Here is a 27474-nt window from a genome sequence, read left to right as displayed (position 1 = left end):
GTGAAGCTCAGGCAGCAATGCTTGCTCACCTGCTGCTCACCTCCTGCTGTATGGCCTGGTTCCTAACAGGCCAAGGACCGGTACTGGTTGGGGACCCCTGGTGTAAACTCACTCCATGAGGTCCTGCATGATGAGGCCCAGCCATGCTGACATCATTTTTTTCCCTTAAACACATTAAGCTTCTTCCCATCTCTGGGCCTTTGGGATACTGTGCCCTCTGCTAGGAACACCCTCCCTGTGTGCTTGGCATGGTGACAACTCATGTTTTGGTTCAAATAGAAGAAATCTCTGATTGCTGTGGCTAAAGCATGCTCTCCCAATTACTTACCACCCTTTTACTTATCTTCAGCGGAGTTGGTCTAATATTTTGTTTACTTGTTGTAGCAAGGTGGACTACTAAGGACCCTAGTAAGGACTCTTAAGGCAGAGCCCATGGTCCCCTCTGTGGTTTACCTGCCCTTGGGTGATCCCCTCCTCATGAGAGTGGGTGGTGGTTTCTGGGACTCGTTTCTAACCAGCAGAACACAGATAAAGTGATCCAGTGTTCATGATTGTGCATGCATGATTACGTTCCCTAAGAATGTAACGTCTATCTTGCTGAGAGGCTCTCCCTTGATGGCTTTGAAGAAGCCATTGACCACACTGAACTGTCATGGGGAGGGGAATATGCAGCAAGGAATGGAGGGCTTAAGTCGTGTTGCCAGCTGGATGCTGCCAACAACCATGTGAGCTTGGAATGTGGTCCTTCCCCAGTCAGACCCCAAATGAGAACACAGCCCTGATGACACTGTGATCACAGGCTTACAAAAGATCTAGCCAAGCCATGCCTGGACCCCTAACACATGAAGAATGTGAGATAAGAAATGCCTGTTCTTTTAAGCCAATAGTTGCTGGTAAACTGTTACATAGCAACAGATATGCTTGCTCACTCACTCTTGCATTAGAAAGAAAACTTCAGAAGGGAGACCATTGCATTCTTCATTATTAAAGCTGCAGAACCCAGCTGGGTAGATAGCATAGAGAGATAATATCAGACAGTTGTATGAATGAAGGAAACATCCAATAAACAGTAACTGTTAATATTAATAGTTATATTAATAGTGGGCTGATCTATCGCCTCCCCTGTTTCTTGAATGGCCACCATCCCAGCCCTGTCCCATCTGCATATCCCATCCTCCTAGCCACCATGATTGGTCTGGGGTCGCTCACATGACCCAAGTCTATCCAATCAGAGCCAAACCCAGAATATTTGTATATACTGTTGGAAAAAAGCAGTTTTCTTGCCCAGGATGGAGCTCCTGGGACCTCCGAAAGGGGTGGCGGGCCTGCCTGCAAAAGCAGCTCACACTGAGGAAAGCTATACTGAGAGATGAGGGGTGAGAGATGCTTAATGACACCACCTGAGCCCCTGGAATCAGCAGCACCTCAAGATCTACCCCTTGGCTTTTTGGTTGAGTGAAACTAATCCTTCTCCCTACCACCCCTCTTTTTAAAGTAATGTGGAATTGGGTGTCTATTGCGAGCAACTAAAAAAATCCCTATTACCCAGCACCAGTCATGAAATCGACAGAGGAATAGGCAGGTCTGATGTATGGAGCAGAAGGGAAAAAGAGTAAAGAAAAAAAGCCCACCCAAATAAATATTTAATGAAATGCCACGCAAATAAACCACTCAGTAATTCCACTGGGAAATCCCATAGGAAGTTTTATTTTTACTTACTAGTCCTTTAGCATTTTTATTTTAAGAAATGGCTTAGGCTGGGCACAGTGGCTCACGCCTGTAATCCCAGCACTTTGGGAGGCCAAGGCAGGTGGAGCACCTGAGGTCAGGAGTTTGAGACTAGCCTGACCAACATGGTGAAACCCCATCTGTACTAAAAAAAATACAAAAAAAAACTAGCCGGGCACGGTGGCGGGTGCCTGTAATCCCAGCTACTTGGGAGGCTGAGGCACGAGACTCACTTGAACCTGGGAGTTGGAGGTTGCAGTGAGCCGAGACTGCACCATTGCACTCCAGCCTGGGCAACAAGAGGGAAACTCCGTCACAAAAAAAAAAAAAAAAAAAAAAGAAAGAAATTACTTAAAGGACAAGCTCTTTAGAACAATACAACAGTACCAAGTGCAAATATGTAAAAGATTAACAGTACTTAACAGTACTCAACAGTTACAGTGGAAACTACACCTTTAGACTTTTTTGAAAATACTCTTGGCCACAAAGTTACATTTGGACTCTATTTTCCAACTTGGAGAGGCCAAATGTTGCTGTTCTTTCTGATAAAAAGCAAATACCACAGAAGGGCTTGTTCTGTTTTGGATTTTTTTTTTCATTTTGTTTCACATGAGTGAAAAAATTAACAGCTGCCCTCATTTCTGAAAACAAAAAACTATAAACAATCACTGTTGCTCCCAATGGGACCGTTGGACATAAGCCCTGAGGCTTTGGGGTCAACGGGCTAGACTCTAGAAGCCCAGGACCCCGCCAAGGTCAAGTCTGCATACTTGGGGCAGGGCGAGCTGTTGAACCATCGCATTTCTCTGCTGCTTCTTTACATGGGAACCAACACAAGAACAACACAATCCCTAAATTGGCTGCTGCGGGATCCTACAAGTAAGTGAAAAAGCGAGAGGACACAGCCAAGGAGTGCTTGCCTACCCAGCCCCCTTCTTCTAAGCCATAATCCCAAGGGGTGAGTATGATCCAGCAGTACTTGAAAAGAAGCCCGGCCTCTGAGCAGTCACTCATTCCTGGTAAAGCCCCTCGAATTCTGCAGACTTCATGGCTGGCAGAAAGTCACAACTGGTGTTTTGCTGTGTCAGTGGCCTGTCGGATAACAAGAAGAGATCGTTAGCTCTAGGGCCTCAGTAAAGAGCAACGTTGGAAGTGTGCATAGCTGAATACATGATGTTCTTTTTCCTGATTTTTAGCTGCTTCTTGCAACCACACCAGGCCTATGTCCATTATACAGATGAAGAAACTGAGGGCACAGGAGGTTAAAATGACCAGGTTAGGAGTAGGGTTACGGCCCCTTTTCCATTTTCTAATTTGGATATTTATTATGTTTTTCTTAATTATCTGTGTCCTCACAACAACCCAGTGAGAATGGTAGATTAAGAGTAGCCATTTTGTCTATTTTACCAATGGACAAAAACTGAAATCAGAGAAGTCAAGCAGCCCGTTCAAGACCACACAGCTGAAAACATGGCAGGGCGGGGATTCAGACCATATCTTCTGATTTCAATTAGTTTCTTGACACCTTCCATGGAAAGGAGTTCGGGGGAGGATTGTATTAGTCCGTTCTTATGTTGCTAATAAAGACCTGAGACTGGGTAATTTATAAAGAAAAAGAGGTTTCATGGACTCACAATTCCACATGGCTGGGGAGGCCTCACAATCATGGTGGAAGGCAAAGGAAGATCAGAGGCACTTCTTACATGGCGGCAGGCAAGAGAGCATGTGCAGGGGAAATGCCCTTTATAAAACCATCAGATCTCGTGAGACCTACAATCAGGAGAACAGCAACCAGCGGCCATCTGACAAAGTTCTAGTCAATGAAGTCTTTTGAAGTATAGTGGTGAGAGGTCCTGGGAAATATTTTATTCACATTTTTAAAAGGGTCAGACTCCATTTTTTTCTCCTTTTCTGCTGCCTTGAAGGTAGCTGGTAGATCTGGAGCTGCAGCAGCTATCTTGTGGCCATAAGGTAGGAAACCAATGGGCTAAGGATAGCAACACAGGAAGGCAAAAGGTGCCTGGTATGTTGATACCACACTGGCTGCACCAGCCCTGGGCTGTCTCCAGTTTTTCATTAAGCAATAAAAAAAAGTTCCCTGTGTGTTTAAACTAGTATCTACTTTGGTTTTTTTCATTATTTGCCACCTAAACCATTCCTCCCTGATAACAAAAAACTAAGAAAGAAGCCTTTCCTTTTCTTAGTAAAGATGTAAGGAAGCTAGTTATGCTCAGGCTGGTTTGGAAGATTATGATATGGGGTAGTGAGTTTGGTGGCTCTGCAAATAAACACAGCTGCCCAGGGCCCCTACTTCTCCTGAGCTGCAGGCCCTGGAAGGTCTTGCAGTCTCCATAACCAAGCAGTGTGGTTTTGCCCCTCAGAGGCTAGCTGATCTACATAGGAGGCAGGTCAGTGTATTTGATCTAAATATTGTTTAGTTGGGTTTCATATGTAAGGGAAACTTACAGTTTTGTTTCCTTTTTCTTTTCTTTTTTAAAAATTTAAGCTGTATTATCTTTTATGTTTTAGGGCCAAAATTCCATTAAATCATGAAATAAATTATATAGCTCCTCTTCCCCCCATTCCATGCTTTCGATCATTTAATGAGGGAGTTATCTTTTTTTGAGTTATAAAGAATTCACTAATGCAGGCTGGGTACAGTGGCTTACACCTATAATCCCAGCATCTTGGGAGGCTGAGGTGGGTGGATCACTTGAGCTCAGGAGTTCAAGACCAGCCTGGCCAACATGGTGAAACCCCACCTCTACTAAAAACACAAAAATTAGCCATGCATGGTGGTGCACACCTATAATCCCAGCTACTCGGGAGGCTGAGACAGAAGAACTGCTTGAACCCAGAAGGGAGAGGTTGTGTGAACCAAGATCAAGCCACTGCACTCCAGCCTGGGTGAGAGTGAGACTCGTCTCAAAAAAAAAAAAAAAAAAAAGAATTCGCTAATGCAAGGGTTCTCAGATGAAAACCATGTTCACAATAACATGACCTATTATATGCCTTTTTCACTCACATTCTCTCACAAGGGAACAGTGCAATTTTTCAAAATATATTTGGAAGATCTGCATGACTCAATGAATTGATATTCTCCCATTGACCAATGGGTAAAGTTAGAAAATCATGCATGATAAAGATCAATTTAAAGTGTGACACAGACCTGAAGATTTCAATAAAATAGAGTAGAAAAATTTCACATTTCAGCTAACCTTTAAGAAACTATCACTTACGGAGTTTTGGTGGACTATCATAGAATATCCACAATCGTTTAAAAAAGCTTTGCCTCCCTCTCCCAACCGCATGTTAGTGATGCTAGGTCTTCTTCAAATACTCCAAACAGGACAACATAGCACAACAGAATGAATGCAGCCACACAAACGAGAAGCCGGCTGACAACTGTTAAGGCAGATATGAAAGAGATCTGTAAAATGTAAAATAATACCACTCACAAATTTCATTTTGTTTTGGAAAATATAGTTACTTTTCATTAAAATTTGTTATTTATATCAACAGGTAATATTGTTCCTTTTAAATGAATAGATATTTTTAAAATTTATGCTATGATTTCTCATAGAATAATTATTTCAGAACAAGAAACAATGAGGAAGAAAATTTTTTAAAAAGAAATAATTATTAATATTCTTTTTTTTTTTTTTTCCAGACAGAGTCTAGCTCTGTCACCCAGGCTGGAGTGCAGTGGTACAATCATAGCTCACTGCACCCCCAACCTCCCAGGCTCAGGCCATCCTCCCTCCTCAGCCTCTTGAGTAGCTGGGACCACAAGCATGCACCAGCTAATATTTAATTTGATTTAATGTAATTTATGTTATGTTTATTTTAATTTATTTTATTGTATATAGTTTTATGTCATGTTAGTTATTTATTTTATATTTCAGCTCATTTCATTTGTTTTTTGAGACAGGGTCTTGCTCTGTTGCCCAGGCTGGAGTGCAATGGTGTGATCACAGCTCACTGCAGCCTTGAACTCCTGGGCCCAAATGATCCTCCCATCTCAGCCTCCTGAGTAGCTGGGACTACAGGCACGCACCACCACAGTTGGCTAATTTTTGTATTTTTTGTAGAGATGTGGTCTTGCCATGTTGCCTAGGTTGGTCTTAAACCCCTGGCCTCAAGTGATCTTCCCTCCTTGGCCTCCCAAAGTGCTATTAATACAATTAACCACATAAATAACATCTCTTCAGATGCCTCAATAATTTTTAAGAAGGTAAAATGGGACTTGAGAACAAAAAGCTTAAGAACCTCTGCCCACGTGGAAACAATTGGTTGGCAGCAATAGGGGAAGATAAGGAGATCAAGTACAAATCCTGGATTTGTTTTTCAATTTCTTCATTGATAAGTAGGGAGTCAGATTCTGCTACTTCCTGTGGTATAATCTTTAAGAACTCACCCTGTTACAGCAGCGTTCAGAGGCAGGGAGGAATTTTATTTCAGAAGCATCACCCTCAATATGCAAAATAGGCCAATATTTCTCCTTTTACATCTTTTAAGACTGGGAGTGAGTTAGTGCCTTACGCCTATAATTCCAGTTCATTGAGAGGCCAACGGGGGAGGATTGCTTGAAGCCAGGAGTTTGAGAATGGCCTGGGCAACACAGCAAGACCCCATTTTATAAGTAAAATACAAATGAACAAACAAAAGACTAAGAGTGATCAAAGCGATTTTTGAAAAGGTGATTATGACTCCAGGGTTGATTCAATTAAGCAATCCTATAAGAGCCATCCTTGAGCAATTTTATATTATACCCACTTCACCCTTTATTTTTCAACATAGGAATAATAACAGGATAAACTTTTGGTAAGGAGTTCAAGGGCTGTTTTGTAGAAAAACAAAACTCAGGATATCAGTTCTTATAGAGCAATGGTTGGCCAAATCCAGCAAGCTGCCTGTCTTTGTAAATAAAGTTTTACTGGAACACAGCCATGCCCATGCATTTACTTCCTGGTCTGTGCTGCCTTCATGCTACGGCAACAGAGTTGACTAACTGCAGTAGAGACTATATTATTTACTAAATACTTACTATCTGGCCCTTTCCAGAAATTCCAGTAGAGACTATATTACTTACTAAATACTTCCTGTCTGGCCCTTTCCAGAAATTGCCAACTCCTGTTTTAGAGAGTCACTTTGTATCTTGATTAAGAGGGCTTTGGAATTAACTCACCTGGAATTAAGTCCCTTCTGTGCTACTCTCAGCTTAAGGGACTTGGCTTAATTTTCCTTATAATAGAAAGGGGCTAAATTGTTAAGGATTACATGACATAAGGCCTGGAAAGTGTTTAAGAGAGTCCCTGGCACAGAGCAAGTGCTCAGTAGCACTATCATCAATTTAGCAGGAGCTTAAATGAAGTATGATGAACTTGGGACTTAGATTCTAAAATCAACACAAAGGACAAAAATAAAGCATTAAAATAAATCTCCTTTGAAAATCCCTTAGGTGGGTGGCACATTGTAGACAAACACAGAGTCTCTCAGTAATGCCAACATAGCTGGCTTTTCCCTCCAGCATTTAAGTAGATCGCTGTTCTTTCACTCAAGGCCCCAGATGAAGTAGCTGGCATTGAAGAGCCATATTGTAGGAACAAAAATCTATATATTCAAACATGAGGCTCACACTCAGTTGGTGAGAAACTCACATTCTCAAGAGCAGAGGGGATTGACAGACTTTGGGGACAGAAGATTCACGGCTCCCATACTGTACCGCTTTGGGTGACAGACATGTCTCGTGGGTCATTTTTCTCCTGTGCCTCTCTGCCCCACCCCGCCAAAGAAAACCACCTAATTTGACATTTGTAAATTAAATGGACATCTTTTAAAAGGAATCAATAATACTGATAGAGTTGCTATGACAATGAAATGTGTATACGTGATGGAAAATGACAGCAATTGCTTTGTTTAAAATTCCATGGTAAATTCCCACCTGATGCCTGGCATACATGGGGAACTATGAGAAACACCTGGGTCTTACAAGTTTCCTTCTGGACATCAACTAGGATTATGGTTTTATTTGTGAAAATCCCCTCAAGTGGCAAAGATTAAATTACTCAGCAAGGTGTGGTGGCTCATGCCTGTAGTCCCTGCACTTTGGGAGGTGGAGGCAGGAGGATTGCTTGAGCCCAGGAATTAGAGAACAGCCTGGGCAACATAGCAAGACCCTGTCTCTACAAAAAATAAAAAATATTAAAATTAGCCGGGCATGATGGCATGCACCTGTAGCCCCAGCTACTTGGGAGGCTGAAGCAGGAGAACTGCTTGAGCCTTGGAGGTTGAGGCTGTAGCGAGCTATGTTCATGCCACTGCACTCCAGCCTGAGTGACAGAGTGAGGCCTTGTCTCAAAAAAACAAAAAAGTAGAAAGATTAAAAAAATAAATTATTTCATGGACATGTATTTACCTGGGAGAAAACCAGCAGCTGATGAGGCTGGAGACCACTACATAAGATGCTATCATCATCCCCGACATGGCGAGTGATACGAAGCCCAAACCACAGAGGATGCAGAGCAGTGAGAAGCCACCCACAGAGATGACCAATCCTAGGAGGAGAACGTGGTTAGGAGAAGGGTTCATCTCAAACAGGTTGAAAACTGGCAGACCCTGGGTCAGTCTGTTTAAAATAACAACCGCTAACTCAGATTATTAAAGTAAGAAGATTTCCCACAAAAACCCAGATTTCTAGCATCACTTAAAAAAAGGAGGCGATATGGGTACCTGAGTGGGCATCAAACCATGGCAACAACTGGCTGGCCCTCCCGTTGCCTCCAGTCCCCCCAATTCCCAAACTGCATCACACATGGGCTGCTTTGCTCATTTTGTCTTTTTTTTTTTCTTTTTTGAGACAGTCTTGCTCTGCCTCCCAGGCTGGAGTGCAGTGGCGCAATCTCAGCTCACTGCAACCTCCGCCTCCCAGGTTCAAGTGATTCCCGGCTTCAGCCTCCTGACGAGCTGAGATTACAGGTGCCTGCCACTACGCCCAGCTAATTTTTATATTTTTAGAGGAGATGGGGTTTCACTATGTTGGCCAGGCTGGTCTTGAACTCCTGACCTCAAGTGATCCACCTGCCTTGGCCTCCCAAGGTGCTGCGATTACAGGCGTGAGCCACCACAACCAGCCTGCTCATTTTGTCTTGCCCATAAGTGCTGGAGTTTGAGATTCCCTTACCCTCAAGGTCAGAGATGGACTTCCAAAGGGATCCCCTCGAGGAGTCAGCCAAGGCAGTACTGGGGGAGGTAAATTATCTCTAATGTCTCAAAGTGCATAATAAATGCCATTATTTACTCTTACCTACAAGCTATAGGTATAAAGGTCATGCAGGCTAAAGCAAAATCTAAATGCAGCTTTTGATGGCATCCTTGAAAATCCAGCCTGTAAACCATCACATTTTAATCTTAAGGTCTGATTGGTCATTTTTATGGAGCATTTTATATGCCATTTTAATATACCATTCCCACTCTGAATAGGAATATTAATGAATTACCATCTAATACGTGCAAGGAAAATACATTTTTTCATAATGTGGGGCCTGTGGGGGGGAAAAGAATAAAAGGTAGAAGGAAAAGATCATGAAGAACAAGTAACATGGCAAGTATTGTATGGCTGACATCCTTCCCTTTGCTTTGTGAGTGGCCAGTTAGCCCAGTGCTCCTCCCACAGCCACAGTGATGGTTTCAGGGAGGGACCCTGAAAAGGCTGGAAGGAAGAGAACATCAACAGGTGTGCTGCCTGTTCATAAAGATTCGCAAAATTTTAGATCAGCGTTTTTCAAAGTGTGGTGCCAACCACCTGCATCAGAATCAGGTGCATCAAGGAAGCTCGTGAAAAATTCAGATTTCTAAACCCCACTCCAGACCTACTAAAACAACACTCTCTGGATGAGGCCTGGAAGTCTGCATTTTCTTTCTCTTTTTTCTTTTTTTAAGAGACAGAGTCTTGCTCTGTTGCCCAGGCTGGAGTGCAGTGGCATGATCATAGCTCACTACAGCCTCAACTGCCTGGGCTCAAGCGATCCCGTCACCTCAGCCTTCTGAGTAGCTGGGACTACAGACACACACCACTTTTTTCTTTCTTTCTTTCTTTTTTCTTTTCTTTTCTTTTTTTTGAGACAGAGTCTCACTCTTATCACCCAGGGTGGAATGCAATGGTGCAATCTTGGCTCACTGCAACCTCCACCTCCCAGGCTCAAGTGATTCTACTGTCTCAGCCTCCCAAGTAGCTGGGATACAGGTGCCCACCACCATGCCCGGCTAATTTTTTGTATTTTTAGTAGAGATGGGGTTTCACCATGTTGGCCAGGCTGGTCGCGAACTCCTGACCTCCAGTGATCTGCCCTCCTCAGCCTCCCAGTGTTGGGATTACAGGCATGAGCCACTGTGTCCGGCCTCTTTTTTTTTTTTTTTAAAGAGATGGAGGGAATCTCGCTATGTTGCCCAGAGTGGTCTTGAACTCCTGGTCTCAAAAGATCCAAAGTCTGTATTTTGATAAAGAAAGTAAGATTTATACACACTTGGAGCTGGGTGCAGTGGCTCACACCTGTAATCCCAGCACTTTGGGAGGCCGAGGTGGGCAGATCACTTGAGGTCGGGAGCTCAAGACCATCCTGGCCAACATGGCGAAACCCTATCTCTACCAAAAATACAAAAATTAGTCGGGCATGGTGGGGCATGCCTGTAATCCCAACTACTTGGGAGGCTGAGGCAGGAGAATTTCTTGAACCTGGGTGGCAGAGGTTGCAGTGAGTTGAGATCATGCCACTGTATTCCAGGCTGGGCGACAGAGTAAGATTCCATCTAGAAAAAAAAAAAAGATTTAAATACACTCAGGTTCAAGAACCACTATTCTAGAGGCTTTGCACATGCTGTTCCCCTGTCCAAAAGGCCCTTCCTTGCCCACCCTGAGGCAAAGTTGTTATGCATCCTTAAAGTCTTGTCTGCTGTAAAGCTTTGCATGGTACCACCAAAATGTAATGGCTCTCTCCTTTCTCTATAAATTTCCTTTCTTATGGTACTCATTCATTCCTCCATCCATTCATTCATGCATTCACCCATCTATCTATCAACATTTACTCAAAAACCACTCTGCCAGGCTGTATTTGGCTCATCCACTGACCATGCCTACTTTCTCCTTCAAGTGTAAACTGCCTTGTCCCTGGGGCAAATAAACAGCCCTGGGTGCTCTTAGCTCTGGGAAGCCACGGAATGGACCAGAAGTGATCACCTGACCCACTGGCCACCATCTCTTTGGCCACTTGCCTGGGGTGTGTGATCTGATTTGAAAAGTCAAAGTGAGCAAATCAGATTTGCTTTCCCAGTAATTTTAACTTAGGAATACAGGGAGAAGTTGACTGTTGGTAGTGGAACTTCAGGAGGAAGGATGAAGGTGGTCTCCAGTACCTAGCGAGGCATCTGGCATGCAGTAGGTGCCCAATAACTCACTGTGGAATGAATGGCCTCTCTGCTTAATAATAATAGCTAGCATTCATTGAGAAGCTACTCTGTGACATGTATTGTGTATTGTGCTAAGGACTTTATGGAGCCATAAGTTTCAATCTTCACAACAACCTTTTGAGATTGTATTATTATATCTGCATTTTACATATTAAGAATTTAAGGCTCAGAGAGGTAAACCACTTGCCCCAAATCACAGTGGTGGAGGTGGGATTTGAATGCAGGCTCCAGAGTCTATGTTTTACCTACTCTGATAAGTTGCCTTGCTTGATGTGATTTTGACAAGAATGGCAGACAACCAGGCATGGTAGCCCATGGCCATAATCCCAGCACTTTGGCAGGCCGACGTGGGAGGATCACTTGAGCCCAGGAGTTTGAGACCAGCCTGGGCAACATAACAAGACCCCGCCCCTTAAAAAAATTTTTAAATGGCCCCAAAAGTATTTTTCTCCCAATTGAATTATTTTCTAAAGGGGTGAATGACGGAACAGGCTACCTTCCAATATTATGACCCCCAGCAGAGCAGCCAGGGTGGTAAGCACCACGATGAGCAGGAAGAATCCAACAGGAACGGCCGACATGACAATGAACACCAGCAAGGTGAAGGCCAGAAACGGATGGCTGTCCAAGTACTGACCCACTGGAGACTTCATAAAGGCCACCACCTGTAGGCAAAGGACAAAGAGCCAGGGATAAGTAACACATCGGAACCCCAGGTTGAATGAATCTGCCCAAGCTGTGGGAATTACAAGGCAGAAGTCGTAAAGCCAGAAGGCTTATGCATTAACAAGTCACTACAGGCCGGGTGCAGTGGCTCATGTCTGTAATCCCAACACTTTGGGAGGCCAAGGCGAGCGGATCACCTGAGGTTGGGAGCTTGAGACCAGCCTGACCAACATGATGAAACCCCCGTCTCTACTAAAAATACAAAATTAGCCAGGCACGGTGGTGTGTGCCTGTAATCCTAGCTACTGGGGAGGCTGAGGCAGGAGAATTGCTTGAACCTGGGAGACAGAGGTTGCAGTGAGCCAAGGTTGCACCATTGCACTCCAGCCTGGGAGGCAGAGGTTGCAGTGAGCCAAGGTCACACCATTGCACGCCAGCCTGGGAGACAGAGCAAGACTCCATCTCAAAAATGATAATAAGAATAACAAGAGCGAAACTCCGTCTCAAAAAAAAAAAAAAAGTCACTACAACAAGACTTCTCCCAAGACATGAGTCACCCAGGCAGCTATCTTAGGCAGCTGTGGAGAGGTGGCAAGTCTGAGGTCCCCACCCAAGGTCAAGCCTTGTGAAAGGAGGAAAGACCCAGTCATGGCTCTCCTGCCAAACACACTCTTGAGAAGACCTCTTCGGCATAAAGGTGCATTGATGTAAGGTACATACCATCTGCCTCCTACTTTACAGCTGAGGTTCTCATAGTTGAAGCCACTCAGACACAAATAGGCTTAGCTACTTGGATCATCTAGGAGTTTGTTAGAAATACAGAATCTGGCTGGGCGTGGTGGCTCACATCTGTAATCCCAGCATTATGGGAAGTCGAGGCAGGAAGATTGCTTGAGGCCAGGAGTTTGAGACCAGCCTGGACAACACAGCAAGATTCCATCTCTACAAAAAATTTAAAAACTAGCTTGGCATAGCAGCACATACCCACAGTCCTAGCTACTTGGGAGGCTGAGGTGGGAGGATCACTGGAGCCCAGGAGTTTGAGGTTGCAGTGAACTATGGATTGCACCACTGCATTCCAGCCTGGGCAACAGAGGGAGATCTTGTCTCCAGAAAAAGGGGAAAAAAAAAGGAAATGCAGAATCTCAGGCCCTGATGAATCAGACTGCCTTTTAAACAAGATTCCCCAGGTGTCGTGCATACACATTAAAGTTTGAGAAGCAATGAACTAAGTCACTTGTCTAGAGTCGCACAGCCTCCAAGTTGCAAAATCTCAGCATTAAAAGCTAATCACTTGTCTATTATTAAGCATTAAAAGCATTATTATTATTAAAAGCATTATTAAAGTGATTAGCATTAAAAGCTAATCACTTGTCTATTATTATTAAAAGTATTATTACTATTAAAAGCATTATAATTATAATTATAATATAATAATTATATATGTTTATAATTATATATAATATAATATATTATATTATATATACTATAAATATAAATATTTAAATATATAAATATAAATAAATATAAATATATAAATATAAATATATAATATAAATTATAATTATAAATATAAAATATAAAAATATTTATAATTATATAAAATTAAATTATATTTAATTTTATATAAAAATATAATTATATTTATAAAAATATAAATATAAAAATATTTATAATTATAATATATAAAATAAAAATATAATATAATATTAAAAATATATATATAATTATATATAAAAATATAATTGTAATGTAATATAAAAATCATAATTATAATATTGTATAATTATATTAGATATATTATACTAATATTAGTTATCAATATTCATATAGCATTATTATATATTATATAAATATATTATATTTATATATGTATATAATTATAATATGTATTATATTATTTATATATTATTTATTATAATTATAATTATTAAAAGCATTATTATTAAAAGCATTATTAAGCATTAAAAGCTAATCACTTGTCTATTAGTAAGCATTAAAAGCTAATCACTTGTCTATTCACTTGTCTATTAAAAGCTAAGCTCAGCATTAAAAGCTAATCACTTGTCTAGAGTCGCACAGCCTCCAAGTGGCAAAATCTCAGCATTAAAAGCTAAGGCCTGGCCAGCATGGTGGCTCATACCTGTAATCCCAGCACTTTGGGAGGTGGAGGCAGGCGGGTCACCTGAGGTCAGGAGTTCAAGAACAGCCTGGCTAACATGGTGAAACCCTGTCTCTTTTAAACATACAAAAATCAGCCAGGCATGGTGGCGCGTGCTGGTAGTCCCAGCTACTAGGGAGGCTGAGGCACGAGAATCGTTTGAGCCTGGAAGGCGGAGGTTGCAGTGAGCCAAGATGGCGCCATTGCACTCCAGCCTGGATGACAGAGCAAGTCTCCTTTTCTTTTCTTTCTTTCTTTTTTTTTTTTTGAGATGGAGTTTTGCTCTTGTCGCCCAGGCTGGAGTGCAATGGCAAGATCTCGGCTCACTGCAACCTCCGCCTCCCGGGTTCAAGCCATTCTCCCGCCTCAGCCTCCCGAGTAGCTGGGATTACGGGCGCCCCCACCACGCCCAGCTAAGTTTTGTATTTTTAGTAGAGACAGGGTTTCACTATATTGTCCAGGCTGGTCTCGAATTCCTGACCTCAGGCGATCCACCCGCCTTGGCCTCCCAAAGTGCTGAGATTACAGGCGTGGGATACCGCGCCCCACCGCAAGTCTCCTTTTCAAAAAAAAAAAAACAAACCTAAGGTCTTGGACTCAGAATGTCCAATGCTTGCAACAGCTGCCACCACATCAAGTAAAAATGCTTTTATGTCATCAACCTGGTTACCATAGTTGGCCACAGCCTGTGACTAATGCAAGTTTATGTTGTGTTAATAGTTTATTTTCCTTCACCGGGCAAAAAGGAATTTTCGATCTGACTCAATGGAGGGAGACTGCTTTAACGCAGAGCTGGCCATAGGCAAATCCGCAAAGATGGGTTTCCCCCTCTCCTCCTTAGGCTCCACGCCTTCTCTCTCCTCAGTACTGGTATTCTAGATCCTGTTCACTTGAAAGGAACCATTATTCCAGAACCTCCTTCCATCATAACTGGTCCTTCCTGAGCCTCATCCCTACGGCCTTGCAGGCCAACAGATGAAAAGAAGACATAATTCAGGTCCCCAAAACACATGTGCCTCCTAGGAAGAAGAGTTTACCCAAGTGGTTTAAACAGTGGGATTTTCAGGGCGAGTTGGAAGGCAGGAGGGGTTTGTGGTTCATGCTGAAGGAACTAAAGTGCAAGCTGCACCCTGCTTAAATAAAAGAGGCCATGCCAAGAAGCCACAGCCATTGGTCTTGGGCTTCAGCGTGGTCTCCTAAGGATTACTCTCGAGGCATGGCCAATTTCACTCCCTGCCAGGCCACAGGACGGCATAATGCCCGCTGACCTCACTGCCTCCTGCTACCCCACCATTCTGACAAAAGCCACCAAAGAGCTTGCTATTCCGCTTCTCTAGCCAGAGATGACTGTAGCAGGAATCACCTTGGAGCCAGCACTGCCCAGCCTGGACACTCCATCATCAGAGTCCAGTGAGATCCTGCTGTGTTGGGGCAGCTGAAAGAGAAAGAGAGGCGGAGGAGCCGTGGGAGTCACCACACAGAATGTGGGCTGGTCCCTTGCGCTGTCTCAGGTCCTGACTTCTTTCCAGTTCGAATCCACATGCATCCTTATTTGATGCTCCCTGTGTCACCTGATCTTTACAATCCAAAGAACCACAGTGGGGAGAGCAGATGGGCTCTCCAGGAAAGGGAGGCAGCAGTACACCCGTGAGTATGCTGCGCCAGCGAGGGAAGGGCTGTGCAGCGGAAGGAACTTGTGAGGCTGGGACACCAGGACACTGGGCTTGCTAGCTTATCCCCGGGCTGTCCATCACAGGCCACCTGCGCCATTCAGCACTTGAAATGCTCCTCCTGTGACTGATGGCCTGGATTTCCAATTTAATTTAATTTAAATTTTAAAGCTGAGACTTGATTCAGTTGTTGGAAAAATTTTAAGTATGTTTCCAATAGGTTGGGTATGTGAATCTATTTCGCTGAATTGTAAGTTTTATAAAATCTGAATAGAGATTAAATATTTCCAATGAAAATTTGGCATCAGAATTGAGATGTGCTTTAAGTGTAAGAAAAAAAAATGCAAAATATCTCATTAATACTTTTTTATATTACCTGTTGAAATTATAGTGTTTTGGATATATTGTGTTAAATTGAGAATATATTATTAAAATTAATCTCTGGCTGGGCACGGTGGCTCACACCTGTAATCCCAGCACTTTGGGAGGCTGAGGTGGGCAGATTACTTAAGATCTGGAGCTTAAGACCAGCCTGGTCAACATGGTGAAACCCCGTCTCTAGTAAAAATACAAAAAAATTAGTCAGGCAGAGTGGTGCGTGCCTGTAATCCTAGCTACTTGGGAGGCTGAGGCGGGAGAATCACTTGAACCCGGGAGTCAGAGGTTGCAGTGAGCCGAGATCACGCCACTGTACTCCAGCCTGGGCGACAGAGCGAGACTCCATCTCAAGATAAATAAATAAATAAAATTAATCTCATTTGTTTCTTTTTGTTTTTAATGTAATTATTAAAAAACTTAAAATTATATATGTGGCTCACATAATATTTCTGCTAGACAGCACTCATTTAAATTTCATCTGGGAAAAAAAAAACAGGGAACAAACTGCTGTCATTTGAGCAGAACTATGACATGATTAAAGGAATGATTTAAGAAATATGAACCTAGCAATCATGTGCAAGAGGCAGGTAGAAAGATTTGCAGGAAATCAGGCAAGATATACTGTGGTCAAGTCCAGGCTGATGGCAGAGAGGGAAGAGAAGGGGGAGGGGTAGATGGGTATGAAAGTGGAATGACAAAAGAAGGAATACACAGGACTTAGGGACTGTATGGCACAGGGATATAAAAGGAAACAGGCAAGACTGTTCCACTTCAGTCCTTAAGGAATCCACCTTTTTCTTAGCCTTTTGTTTTTTTGAGATGGAATCTCACTCTATTGCCCAGGCTAGAGTGCAATGGCATGATCTCGGCTCACTGCAACTTCCGCTTCCCAGGTTCAGGCGATTTCCAGCTAATATTTATATTTTTTAGTAGAGATGGGGTTTCACCATGTTGGCCAGGCTAGTCTCGAACTCCTGACCTCAAGTGATCTGCCCGCCTCGGCCTCCCGAAGTGCTAGGATTATAAGCATCAGCCACCATGCCCCGCCATTCTTAGTCTTTTCCGAGTCTGGGCTCTATAATCAAAGAGAAAGTCATTTAGATATGCAAAGAGACCAAGATTCAGATGATTAAACCCAGAAATTGTCTTCTCCCAGGAAGTACAGCTGAGCTCCAGCCAGTCTGTCCCAGGAGGGGAGGACACGATTCAACCACACCTAATAATAACAGAGAACATTCATTAAACACTCAGGTGCTGGGCACTGCTTTAAGCACCTCTCGTATTATTTCCTCATTTATTTCTTCCTACAATGCTACGAGGTAGGTAAAAAAGAACGACCTAACACTATTTAAACTCAGGGGGGTAGAACGTAGCAATTAACATTTCATTCTCATGGCAACAGAGGGGGATGCAATGGAAAGATGGAAAGTGGGAGAGGTTATTATTCAGTAACATGCACTGTGATTTTCCATCACCAGCCTGGAGGTAGACACAGGTTACCCAATCTAGGCTCTGTAAGCACAGTGCAGCACTGCAGAGCCCAGGAAGGCCAGGCTGAGACAGACTGACAACATTATGCGCCACCCTCTGTGCTAAAGCTTCAAACAGCATCTCAGATAATCTTCATAACAAACCTCTGAGCCTGACATTGCTCATTTTAGAAAAGAGGAGATGGCAGCTGGGCATGGTGGCTCACTTCTGTAATCCCAGCACTTCAGGAGGCCAAGGCAGGAGGACTGCTTGAGGCCAAGAGTTTGAGACCAGCCTGGGCAACACAGTGAAAGATGCTGTCTCTCCAAAAAATAAAATAAAACATTAGCTGAGTATGCTGGTGTGCACCTGTAGTCCCAGCTACTCAGGAGGCTGAGGCTGGAGGTGTTGCTTGAGACCAGAAGTTCGAGGCTACAGTAAGCCATGATCACACCACTATACTCCAGCCTGGAAGACAGAGTGAGACTCTGTCTCAATAAAAAATAAATAAAAAATTTTAAAAAAGGAGATGGAAATTCAGTGAGCCTAAGTGACTTGCCCAAGGTCAGACAAAGGCGGTTGGCTTCTAAACTAGGGACAAAGTGGCCAGTATTTGAGAACATGAAGACTGAAACTTGGATGATTCAGGAGCCAGGCAAATTCCCTGGTATCAGAATGCAAAAAACAATCAATGATTCATTATCTCTTCCTAACAGGAGAAAGACGAAGGGTCAGGACCATTTACAACCACTGGTGGCCAGGTGCGGTGGCTCACGCCTATAATCCCAGCACTTTGGGAGGCCGAAGTGGGTGGATTGCCTGAGGTCAGGAGTTGGAGATCAGCGTGGCCAAAATGGTGAGAAACCCCGTCTCTACTAAAAATACAAAAACAAACAAACAAAAAAGGCAGGTGAACGTGACTATTAACTAAGTTCAGACAGGGCCAGGGTGAATGCCTAGTGCAGTGCTTGGCATACAGTCAGTGCCAAGAAATATGCAGTCAATCCTTATTACTCATGATTCCATATTTGTAAATTTGCCTCCTCACTGAAATTTATTTGTAACCTCAAAATGAATACTGGCAGTGCTTTTTGTTTTGTTTTGTTTTGTCTGAGATAGAGTCTTGCTCTGTCACCCAGGCTGGAGTACAGTGGTGTGATCTTGGCTCCCTTCAACCTTCACCTCCTGGGTTCAAGCGATTCTCGTGCCTCAGCCTCCCAAGAGGCTAGGATTACAGGCGCACACCACCACACCCAGCTAATTTTTGTATTTTTCGTAGAGAAGGGGTTTCATCATGTTGGCCAGGCTGGTCTTGAACTTCTGGCTCAAGGGATCCACCCGCCTCGGCCTCCCAAAGTACTAGGATTACAGGTGTGAGCTACCACGCCTGGCCTGCAGTGCTTTTGAGGTCATTAGTGGACACGTCCACAACAGCAAAAAGTGGAGTCACCTGCCACGTACATTCCCAGCTGAGGTCAAGCAAGGTGACACCGAGCCTTCCTGTTTCATCCTTTAAACAAGTGTCACTGTGGTCTATTTAGTGCCACGTTTATGCTTTAGTTTGGTGATTTTACTGTTGAAAATGGTCCCCAAGTGTAGTGCTGAAGTGTTCTCTAGCGTTCCTAACCATGAGAAGGCTGTGATGTGCCTTATGCAGAAAATACATGTGTGTGATTAGCTTTGTTTAAGACATGAGTCATAGTACTGTTGTTGGCCCTGAGTTCAACGTTAATGATCAACAATATATATTAACATGTCTTTAAACAGAAATACACATAAAACGAGGTTATGTACTGATCAGCTGACAAAAATGTTGTGAACAGGAGGCTCACAGCAACTGAATCCTGTATTTCCCCTAGGAGCGATGGTTTGGTATGTGCTAATTCAGTGTCTGCAGTAACTTTATAGAACGTAACTACCATGGTTAATGAGAATCAGCTGTAAATGTGGAACAGGCAGGAGGACCCTTCTTACTGAGCTAACTTTTAATAACAAGAGTCCCCGCCAGCTGGCGAGAAAGCTGCTTGTCCAATTTAAAAATAGCTTGGTAAATCCACAAAGAGTGCCAAATAAATTCTGGAGCAAGTCCAGAATTTATTGTTGTAGATTGCAAACAAGCATCTCTTCGAGTAGACCCGCTGTGCTATCCAATACAAAAAAAAATACACCACAAAATAGTTCATTTTGTTACATATACATATGTATTTTTATAGGTATATTGCATAGAAAAAAGGTCTAGAATGACATACAAAATGTTAACAGTATTATCTCTGAAAGCTGTTTTCTTTTCCCTGACAAAATGCTGAAAGACATATAGAAGAAAGCAATAAGGATAAATATGCAAGAAAACATAACGCTATCTGAAGTCTCATTGCCACTGAGTGGCCACTGAATACCTAAAAAGTGGCTAACTCGAATTGAAATGTGCTAGAAGTGTAAAATATGCGCACGGGGGGTTTTGAAGAGGGAGTTCAAAAAAGAAGGTACAATGTTTCAAGAATCTTTTTTCATTAATAATTTTGTATAAATGATTACATGTTGAAATATTTTTGATATCTTAGGTTGAATAAAAACATTATTAAAAATAATTTTTTTTTTTTGGAGACGGAATCTCGCTCTGTCGCCCAGGCTGGAGTGCGGTGGCACAATCTCAGCTCACTGCAACCTCCGCCTCCTGGGTTCAAGTGATTCTCCTGCCTCAGCCTCCCGAGTAGCTGGGACTACAGGCCTTACCACCACACCTGCTCATTTTGGTAATTTTAGTAGAGATGGGGTTTTACCATGTTCGCCAGGCTGATCTCGAACTTCTGATCTCAAGTGATCCACCCACCTCAGCCTCCCAAAGTGCTAGGATCACAGGCGGGAGCCACTATGCCCAGCCAAAATTAATTTTACCTATTTCTTTTTACTTCTTACATGTGGCTACTAGAAAAATTCTAAATTACATACGTGACTCACATCATATTTCTATCGGACCTGGATTCCTAGTGGAACAATGAACTCAAATCTTGAAGTAGGCTTTTGTCTCTCATTTTCAGGGTAACAGATAGGGCAAAATTCACAACAAAACCAAACAAAACCAAAAAAAGGATGATATCTGTTGCACAGACTTCTTTATCCAGCTAAAGAATTGCATTTGCCATTAGTGGCAAATGACTCAATGTTGGCTTAAGGGATGTAATTGGAAGTATTGTGTGCGACTCCCAGAAGTCTCCTTAAATTGTAGGTGGCTTGCACTTCTCTCTTCCCCCCTCCTCAAATCCTGTTGCCTGAAAGATGGATACAATGGCTGATGCTCTTGCAGTCATCTCAGACAAGGAGTTTGAAGGTCACAGCATAGACATGGCAGGGCGGTAAGCCAGAAAGATTCTTGACTTACCTCCAAATTCCTTCTACTGGAGAAAGAAATAACTTTCTATCTTGTTTATGCTAGTGTTATATTGGGATTTTCCATTATACATAGTGATTGGAAACTGACCTTTGAGTTATTCTGGAAGGAGTCTATCAGCAGAGACAGCTTCTTCTGCAGTTCCTGCAAGTCCCTTGAGATACTCTGGGGCTCCTCTTTTGCCATTCTGAAGCTCACTTCAATCTCTTTAGGGATGAATTATCCTACCAGTAAATTCTCCAGTGCAGCCCGCGGTCCAATCTCTCATGTCGCTCTGTCTCTTGCTGTTACCAGAGGAAACAAAAGCCGTTAGTGGTCTTCATCCATCTGGTTCGACGAGAGCTTCTACCATCCTCATACCTTGATGGTGGGCATGCAGACGGAGGGTAACCTGGCAATATTCACAACAATTTCAGATTGCACACACTTCAATCCAGGAATTTATATTCCAGGAACATGATGGAAATAATCCAACAGGTATCTCAAAATGTACTAAAAGGCTGTGCATTGCATCCCTGTTTATAACATATAATGACTAGCAAAACATTGGAAAGTAGCTAACTGTATTTCCATTAGGAGAAAATTGGTTAAATAATGATAAATTCAGTCATTAAAATGATAGTGTGACTGTTTAGTGATGTGAAAAGATGTGTATGATACTTTTAAAAAAAGATGATAAAATGTTAATAGTATTATCTCTGACAGCTTATGTTTATTTTTTAGCTTGACAAAATGCTGAAAATATACAGAAAGCAAGAAAGCTGAACACACTATTTCAAATCTCATTGCCTTTTATTCTCCCTAGAAAGCTTTCCTTGTACAACAGTAGCCTTGACCTGTTTCTCTTCTTTATTACTGTACAGGTTGGCTCCCAATTCCATCATTCCATACATCATCATCTACTTACTTGTGGGTAAGTCTATCCCTGCTAAGGAGAACTGCACCTCGGGGGCAGACCTCACCACAGTAATTATACTCTAACTAAACTGCCTGGAATTTTGAGGGGTGTCCCAATCTCATACAATTTTTACTTATTTTTAATAAAGGCAATTGGTTAAATTAGATATATTTTTTAACCCTTGTTGAGTTTTCAAATATAAAAAAAAAATCATTCTTATTTTATATTTCCCAGAACTGGCTGGACACAGAGATATCTTTTCCATTTCTCCCTTTAAACTGACCTGACCTACAGTACAAATGCTTAAAAGATTGTGTCCACGTGGCCAAAATTAATTGAGAGATCCTCACATTTATTTATCATATAGGGGGTAATTTTATCTACTACTAAGCTGTACAGGGTCTAGTATGCAAATTAAAGCACATTTTAATCATCCCAGCTAGACATCCTCTGCTACTTCCCTTTTGTAAAACAAGAAACCCTTTGGAGGGGAAAGTTGAGGAGGGGACTAATCCCACCACCCCACATTCTCTCTTTGAAGCTGCCTCTGGCGTAGGTCTTGAACTTGGGATGTTCCCAGCACTCAGTTCCCATAATCTCATCTCTGCAGCAAGCAGAAACAAGCGGAGTTCCCCTTACAGGTCTCCTTTGGCCTGGGAGCCTCAAGTGCCACCCAGACCGGTTTGGGGAGTCCGATGAGAGAGTGCGTGGGGCGAATGCCATCGGCCACAGCCTTCAAATGCGTCTACCTGGCCACCAATTCCCAGACCCCCTGGTCACTCACTCCTCGGAGGGGCCTCCCCAGGCACGGAGCTGTCTCCCGAGAAGGGAAAGCGAGAACCCGGCGCGGCCAAGGAGTGCCCCGCCTTCTTCACGCCTGGGGGACTGGGCCAGGCCAACACCAGCTAACCCTTTCCCCTTCCAAGGCTCCAAATAAATCTCCTGGCCCTCCCACCCCCGAACCTCCAGGGGAAAACGGCTACCTCGAAAGTTCAAGCTGGGAGGAGGGGTCACATCTCTGGTTGGGGGATGGGAGCTACAGGGCGCCTCGAGCTCACACTGGCCGCCCCTCCCCATCCGGGCCCAGCCTTTCAGCGTTCAAAAGCCAGGGAGACCCAAGGAGAGGAGGAAGGGAGTGAAATGCAGGTGGAGAGGGGGTCCGCGTCCCAGAAGGCACAGAGACTGAATAATGGGAACTCAGAGGGGAGTCGAGTACTTAGTTATTAATTTGGGGGTAAAGAAGCCCCCTTTGATACTTGCAGATCTCTCTGCAGCGATGGGGAAGGGGACCTCGGTGGAGAAGAGGGGCTGGGTGGTGAGGAAGGCGCCCGTTTTCAATAATCCTAGGGAGGTTTGCCTCGACGTCTTCCCCAGGTTCCCCAGAAAGGGGCACAGTCTCGGGGTGTGGTGGTGCTAGCTACCATTTTACCTAATCTAGTGGTAGTGTGTGTGTGTATGTGTGTGTGTGTTGGGGGGTGGCGGGGTGAGTGTGCATTTAGGGGTGGGGAGGAATCGTGTCTCCTCGTGCGCTCCCAGCCCCGTCCCGGCGACTCATAAGCAGGAGACGCCCCTTACACTAACCCCGGGGCAGAAAGCTACGGGCGTGGGACCCCGATAGCGCGCTCACGCCGTCGCCCCCGCGCTCCTCCTCTGTCCCCGCCCGGCGAGAGGGGTCTAGCCACCCGGGGCACCCGGACCCCCACCCCCAAGCTCCGAGCTCTCACCTGCTCCTGACCGCCGAGCAGCCCCCACCGCGTTTGCAGGCGAAGCGAAGAGAGGCAGGAGGAGGAACAAGAGGAAGAAGGAAAGAGCGTCCCGAGAGGGAGCCAGAGCCGCCTGCCTCCGCCCCCTGGCCCGGGCACCGCCCCTCGGCTCTTCTCCTCTGGGCTCGCCCCGCCCGTGGCCGGAAGGATCCGGCAAAGGCGCGCCAAGGCCCGGCGCCCAAGGCTTTGCAAAGCGCGCTCGCTCCCACTGGCTTTCGGAGCCACTAGAACAAGCCCTGAGAGGTTGACAGCTGAGGAAACTGAGGCTCAGAGAGTGTCCCTTCCCACACGACTGGCTTGGAGTGAGAAAGCTCAGACCACCTTCAAGACAGGCAGACTGGCAGCCGAGAATGAGTTTTCCAAGGGTGTCAGGGTTTCCCCTCCTGTATGCCTAAAACCAGCTGCTCTGGAACGTCTCTGGCGCTCAAGACACACACGTGATGAAGTATCACCCTGGCTGGAAGTTTTTAACCATGACTGCTCAAATGCGAATGTCATAAGCCAGTGAGATCCTTTCAGATGGATTGGATGTCCATTTTACACATGAAAAAGTCCAGGCTGAGAGAGACAAGATAAATCAATCCAAATTCCTCGGTTTGCATGGATCCAAGTCGGAGCAGGAGCCCCTGTTTCCCCTGGCCCCAAATCTGCCCTATAGAGTAAGGTTTCTGAATAGTATGCTATTGACATTTGGGGCGGAATAATTCTGTTTCTGAGCTGTGGATTGTAGAATGTTTAGCAATATCCTAGCCTCTACCCATTAGATGCCAGTTACAAGAACCGCCCCCCCCCACCTCCAGTTGTGTCTCAAAATATTGCCAAATGTCCCCTGGAAGGCCCCATCGTCCCGAGGTGAGAACCACTGCTATAGAGCATGATGGCAACTTACTGTGTGACTAAGTAACCTCTCTGAACCATGGCTTCAACCATAAATTAGAGAGAGGGATAAGCCCAACCATTGGTCTGCTGTTGCACAGTTCTCAGCCACTTTCCAGACAGGGACCTGTGTTGACCGACCTCTCCTCTTTGCCTGTGGCCATAGCAACCTGGAAAATAAGTCTTTAGATAACAAAAAGCTGGCAGGGTGCGGTGGCTCACACCTATAATCCCAGCACTTTGGGAGGCTGAGGTGGGCAGATCACTTGAGGCCAGGAGTTCCAGACCAGCCTGGCCAACATGGTGAAACCCCATCTCTACTAAAAATATAAAAACTAGCCAGGCATGGTGGTGCGCACCTGTAATCCCAGCTACTCGGGAGGCTGAGGCAGAAGTATCGCTTGAACCTGGGAAGTAGAAGTTGCAGTGAAGACACTGCACTCCAGCCTGGGCAACAGAGTGAGACCCTGTCTCAAAAAAAAAAAAAAAAAAAAAGAAGCAATCACAGGGTTGTAGTGAGGACTGGTGCAATAGTGTGGCTGTGGCTGTCGAGAACTTAGCACCTATTGAGGCACAGAGTAGGGGCTCAAAAATATTTGCTTGGGATGATGATTTATGATGATGATCACGACAATGATATGATAAACCACAGAATCCTGCTGTAATTCCACAATAGCAGAAAGAAGAGCTAATGGTGGGGATAGGACAGACAAGAATCCCTAAATTCTTAAGTTTTAGCCAATCTTGTCTGGCGTCATGCACTTTGTTCAGCTGCAAAATGCTGGGTTCCCCACCCAGGAAAAGATTGTGTGTGTGTGTGTGTGTGTGTGTGTGTTTCCTTAGATTACAGCCTTCCAATCATCATTCCCTAAATGGAAGTTGCTTTGGAAAGCTGAGTTAGGGTTTCCACTGGGATTTTTGTTTAAGAGTGCCATCTAGGGGCGTCTCTGTGAATCTTCAAATTCCTTCCACCTCTGGCATTTTTGGCTGGGCCAGCAGAGTTTTGCTTGTCTTTGTGTGATAGATGCTTCCTCCATCACATCATGTGTTCCTCCAGGGCTGGGATCCTAGCATCTCTCCATAGCATCAGGACTTGGCCCTCAAGGAACATGCAGTGGTTGGGTTAAAAAAATCCACGCGCAGCCTCTCCTATGCTTTCCCAATTACTTGCTGCAATGGACTGAATGTCTGTTCCTCTAAAATCCTAACCCCCAATGTGATGGGATTAGGCATGGGGTTTTTGGGAGGTGATTAGGTCATGAAGGTGAAGCCCTCCTAAATGGGATTAGTGCCCTTATAAAAGAGATCCCAGTGGCTCACACCTATAATCCCACCACTTTGGGAGGCCAAGGTGGGTGGATTGCTTGAGTCTAGGAGTTCGAGACCAGCCTGGGCAACATGGCGAAACCTCTTCTCTACTAAAAATACAAAAGTTAGCCGGGCATAGTGGCACATGCCTGTAGTCCCAGCTACATGGGAGGCTGAGGCAGGAGGATCTCTTGAGCCCAGGCAGTGGAGGCTGCAGTGAGCTGAGATTGCACCACTGCACTCTAGCCTGGGCAACAAAGTGAGACCCTGGCTCATTAAAATAAAATAAAATAAAATAATAAAATAAAATAAAATAAAATAAATAAAATAAAATAAAATAAAATAAAATAAAATAAAATAAGAATAACTCCCAGAGAGCTCTCTTACCCTCTTTCCACCATGTGAGGATACAATGAGAAGTTGGCAGCCTGCAACATGGAAGGGGGCCTTCACTGGAACCAGACCACCCTGGCACCCTGATTGTGAACTTCCAGCCTTCAGAGCAGTGAGAAATAAATGTCTCTTGTTTATAAGCCACCCAGACTTTGGTACTTTGCTATAGTAGCCTCCAAGGATTGAAACTGTTGCTCTGCTTAAACAACTATTTTAGGCCTCAGGAATGAGCTGCCAGGAATACCAGCCTCTGAATAAGAAATGTGTGAAATTTTTTTAGCAACAGATTAAGACCCTAAACTCTTGATAACAAGAGGCAGGGGCAACTTGGAACCTTGCTGACCTCTGCTCCCCATGTTGGCAGATTTGGCAAATAAAAACACACGACACTCAATTAAATCTGAATTTCAGGTAAATAATGGGTAACTTTTTAGTACAAGTACAAGTACAGCCCATGTATTGAATGGGACATGCTTATACTAAAACTTTTTTTTTTTTTTTTTTTTTTTGAGACGGAGTCTTGCTCTGTCTCCCAGGCTGGAGTGCAGTGGCGCTATCTCGGCTTACTGCAACCTCCACCTCCTGGGTTCAAATGATTCTCCTGCCAAAGCCTCCGGAGTAGCTGGGATTACAGGCATGTGCCGCCACGCCCAGCTAATTTTTGTATTTTTAGTAGAGACAGGGTTTCACCATGTTGGTCAGGCTGGTCTCAAACTCCTGACTTTGTGATCCGCCTGCCTCGGCCTTCCAAAGTGTTGGGATTACAGGCATGAGCCACTGCTCCCGGCCCTAAAACATTCTTTTACCTGAAAAATTGTTTGACTGAAACTCTAATTTAACTGGGCACCTTCTGTTTTGTCTGGCAGCCCAATTGAGAAACAAGGCCGGGCATGGTGGCTCATGCCTGAATCCCAGCACTTTGGGAGGCGGAGGTGGGCAGATCACTTGAGGTCAGGGGTTCGAGACCAGGCTGGCCAACATGGCAAAACCCCATCTCTACTAAAAATACAAAAATAAGCCAGGTGTGTTAGCACACGCCTGTAATCCCAGTTACTGGGGAGGCTGAGGCAAGAGAATCACTTGAACCCAGGAGGTGGAGGTTACAGTGAGCCGAGATCATACCACTGCACTCCAGCCTGGGCAACAGAGCAAGATTCCATCTCAAAAAAAAAAAAAAAAGAAAGAAAGAAAAAGAAGATTGAGAAACTTGAAGCCTATATCCTTTCTTAAGAATTATCCAACACAAAGTTGTCAGACAACAAACAATTCTGGTACAGGTGAGGTGGCCTGGGGGAAGTCACTTTCACTCT

The 27474-nt window shown here is 44.2% G+C and overlaps 2 protein-coding genes across 20 annotated transcripts in view, besides 4 other annotated features; one reads left to right on the top strand and one right to left on the bottom strand.

Moving 5' to 3' along the window:
• Positions 1 to 1678: 1678 nt before the first annotated feature.
• On the bottom strand, positions 1679 to 23621 carry LDAF1 (lipid droplet assembly factor 1). Of its 18 annotated transcripts, NR_125971.2 has the most exons (7): positions 23549 to 23621; positions 21017 to 21210; positions 15384 to 15455; positions 11690 to 11858; positions 8147 to 8285; positions 3363 to 3498; positions 1679 to 2820 (listed from the first exon to the last, which is right to left on the bottom strand). NR_125971.2 is itself a non-coding variant. In XM_006721066.3 (6 exons), exons 2-6 carry the CDS (start codon positions 21110 to 21112, stop codon positions 2739 to 2741), a joined length of 558 nt encoding a protein of 185 aa, XP_006721129.1. In that variant the 5' UTR covers positions 21113 to 21317; positions 23549 to 23621; the 3' UTR covers positions 1679 to 2738. The 18 variants fall into 18 exon arrangements, 17 of the variants coding, with proteins under 17 accessions (XP_006721129.1, NP_001288698.1, NP_001288704.1 ...); XM_006721066.3 differs by lacking the exon at positions 3363 to 3498 and having other exon boundaries at positions 21017 to 21317; NM_001301769.2 differs by lacking the exons at positions 3363 to 3498; positions 15384 to 15455 and adding an exon at positions 21287 to 21317.
• Positions 22340 to 22489: an enhancer, noted in NCBI's record as "active region_10548". NCBI's record gives its function as "activates an Ori minimal core promoter by ATAC-STARR-seq in GM12878 lymphoblastoid cells {active_cell/tissue: GM12878}" and the evidence as "EXISTENCE:reporter gene assay evidence [ECO:0000049][PMID:35858748]".
• Positions 22624 to 23124: an enhancer, noted in NCBI's record as "H3K4me1 hESC enhancer chr16:21170492-21170992 (GRCh37/hg19 assembly coordinates)". NCBI's record gives its function as "activates a minimal SCP1, AML or CMV promoter by ChIP-STARR-seq in naive and primed H9 embryonic stem cells {active_cell/tissue: H9 hESC(naive and primed)}" and the evidence as "EXISTENCE:reporter gene assay evidence [ECO:0000049][PMID:30033119]".
• Positions 22836 to 27474, top strand: part of DNAH3 (dynein axonemal heavy chain 3) — a 226349-nt gene continuing 221710 nt past the window's right edge. Inside the window, exon 1 of one of the 2 annotated variants that reach the window (XM_017023432.2) lies at positions 22836 to 22970. In XM_017023432.2, the coding sequence (XP_016878921.1) occupies positions 22854 to 22970 (117 nt within the window). In that variant the 5' untranslated portion in view covers positions 22836 to 22853. The remainder of the gene's footprint in view (positions 22971 to 27474) is intronic. The other variant, NM_017539.2, reaches the window with a different exon arrangement.
• Positions 23382 to 23561: a silencer, noted in NCBI's record as "silent region_7249". NCBI's record gives its function as "represses an Ori minimal core promoter by ATAC-STARR-seq in GM12878 lymphoblastoid cells {active_cell/tissue: GM12878}" and the evidence as "EXISTENCE:reporter gene assay evidence [ECO:0000049][PMID:35858748]".
• Positions 23612 to 23741: a silencer, noted in NCBI's record as "silent region_7248". NCBI's record gives its function as "represses an Ori minimal core promoter by ATAC-STARR-seq in GM12878 lymphoblastoid cells {active_cell/tissue: GM12878}" and the evidence as "EXISTENCE:reporter gene assay evidence [ECO:0000049][PMID:35858748]".

The sequence above is a fragment of the Homo sapiens genome, chromosome 16 (genome assembly GCF_000001405.40).
Source record: "Homo sapiens chromosome 16, GRCh38.p14 Primary Assembly".
NCBI lineage: Eukaryota > Metazoa > Chordata > Mammalia > Primates > Hominidae > Homo > Homo sapiens.
This window is presented reverse-complemented; position numbering and strand designations above follow the sequence as displayed.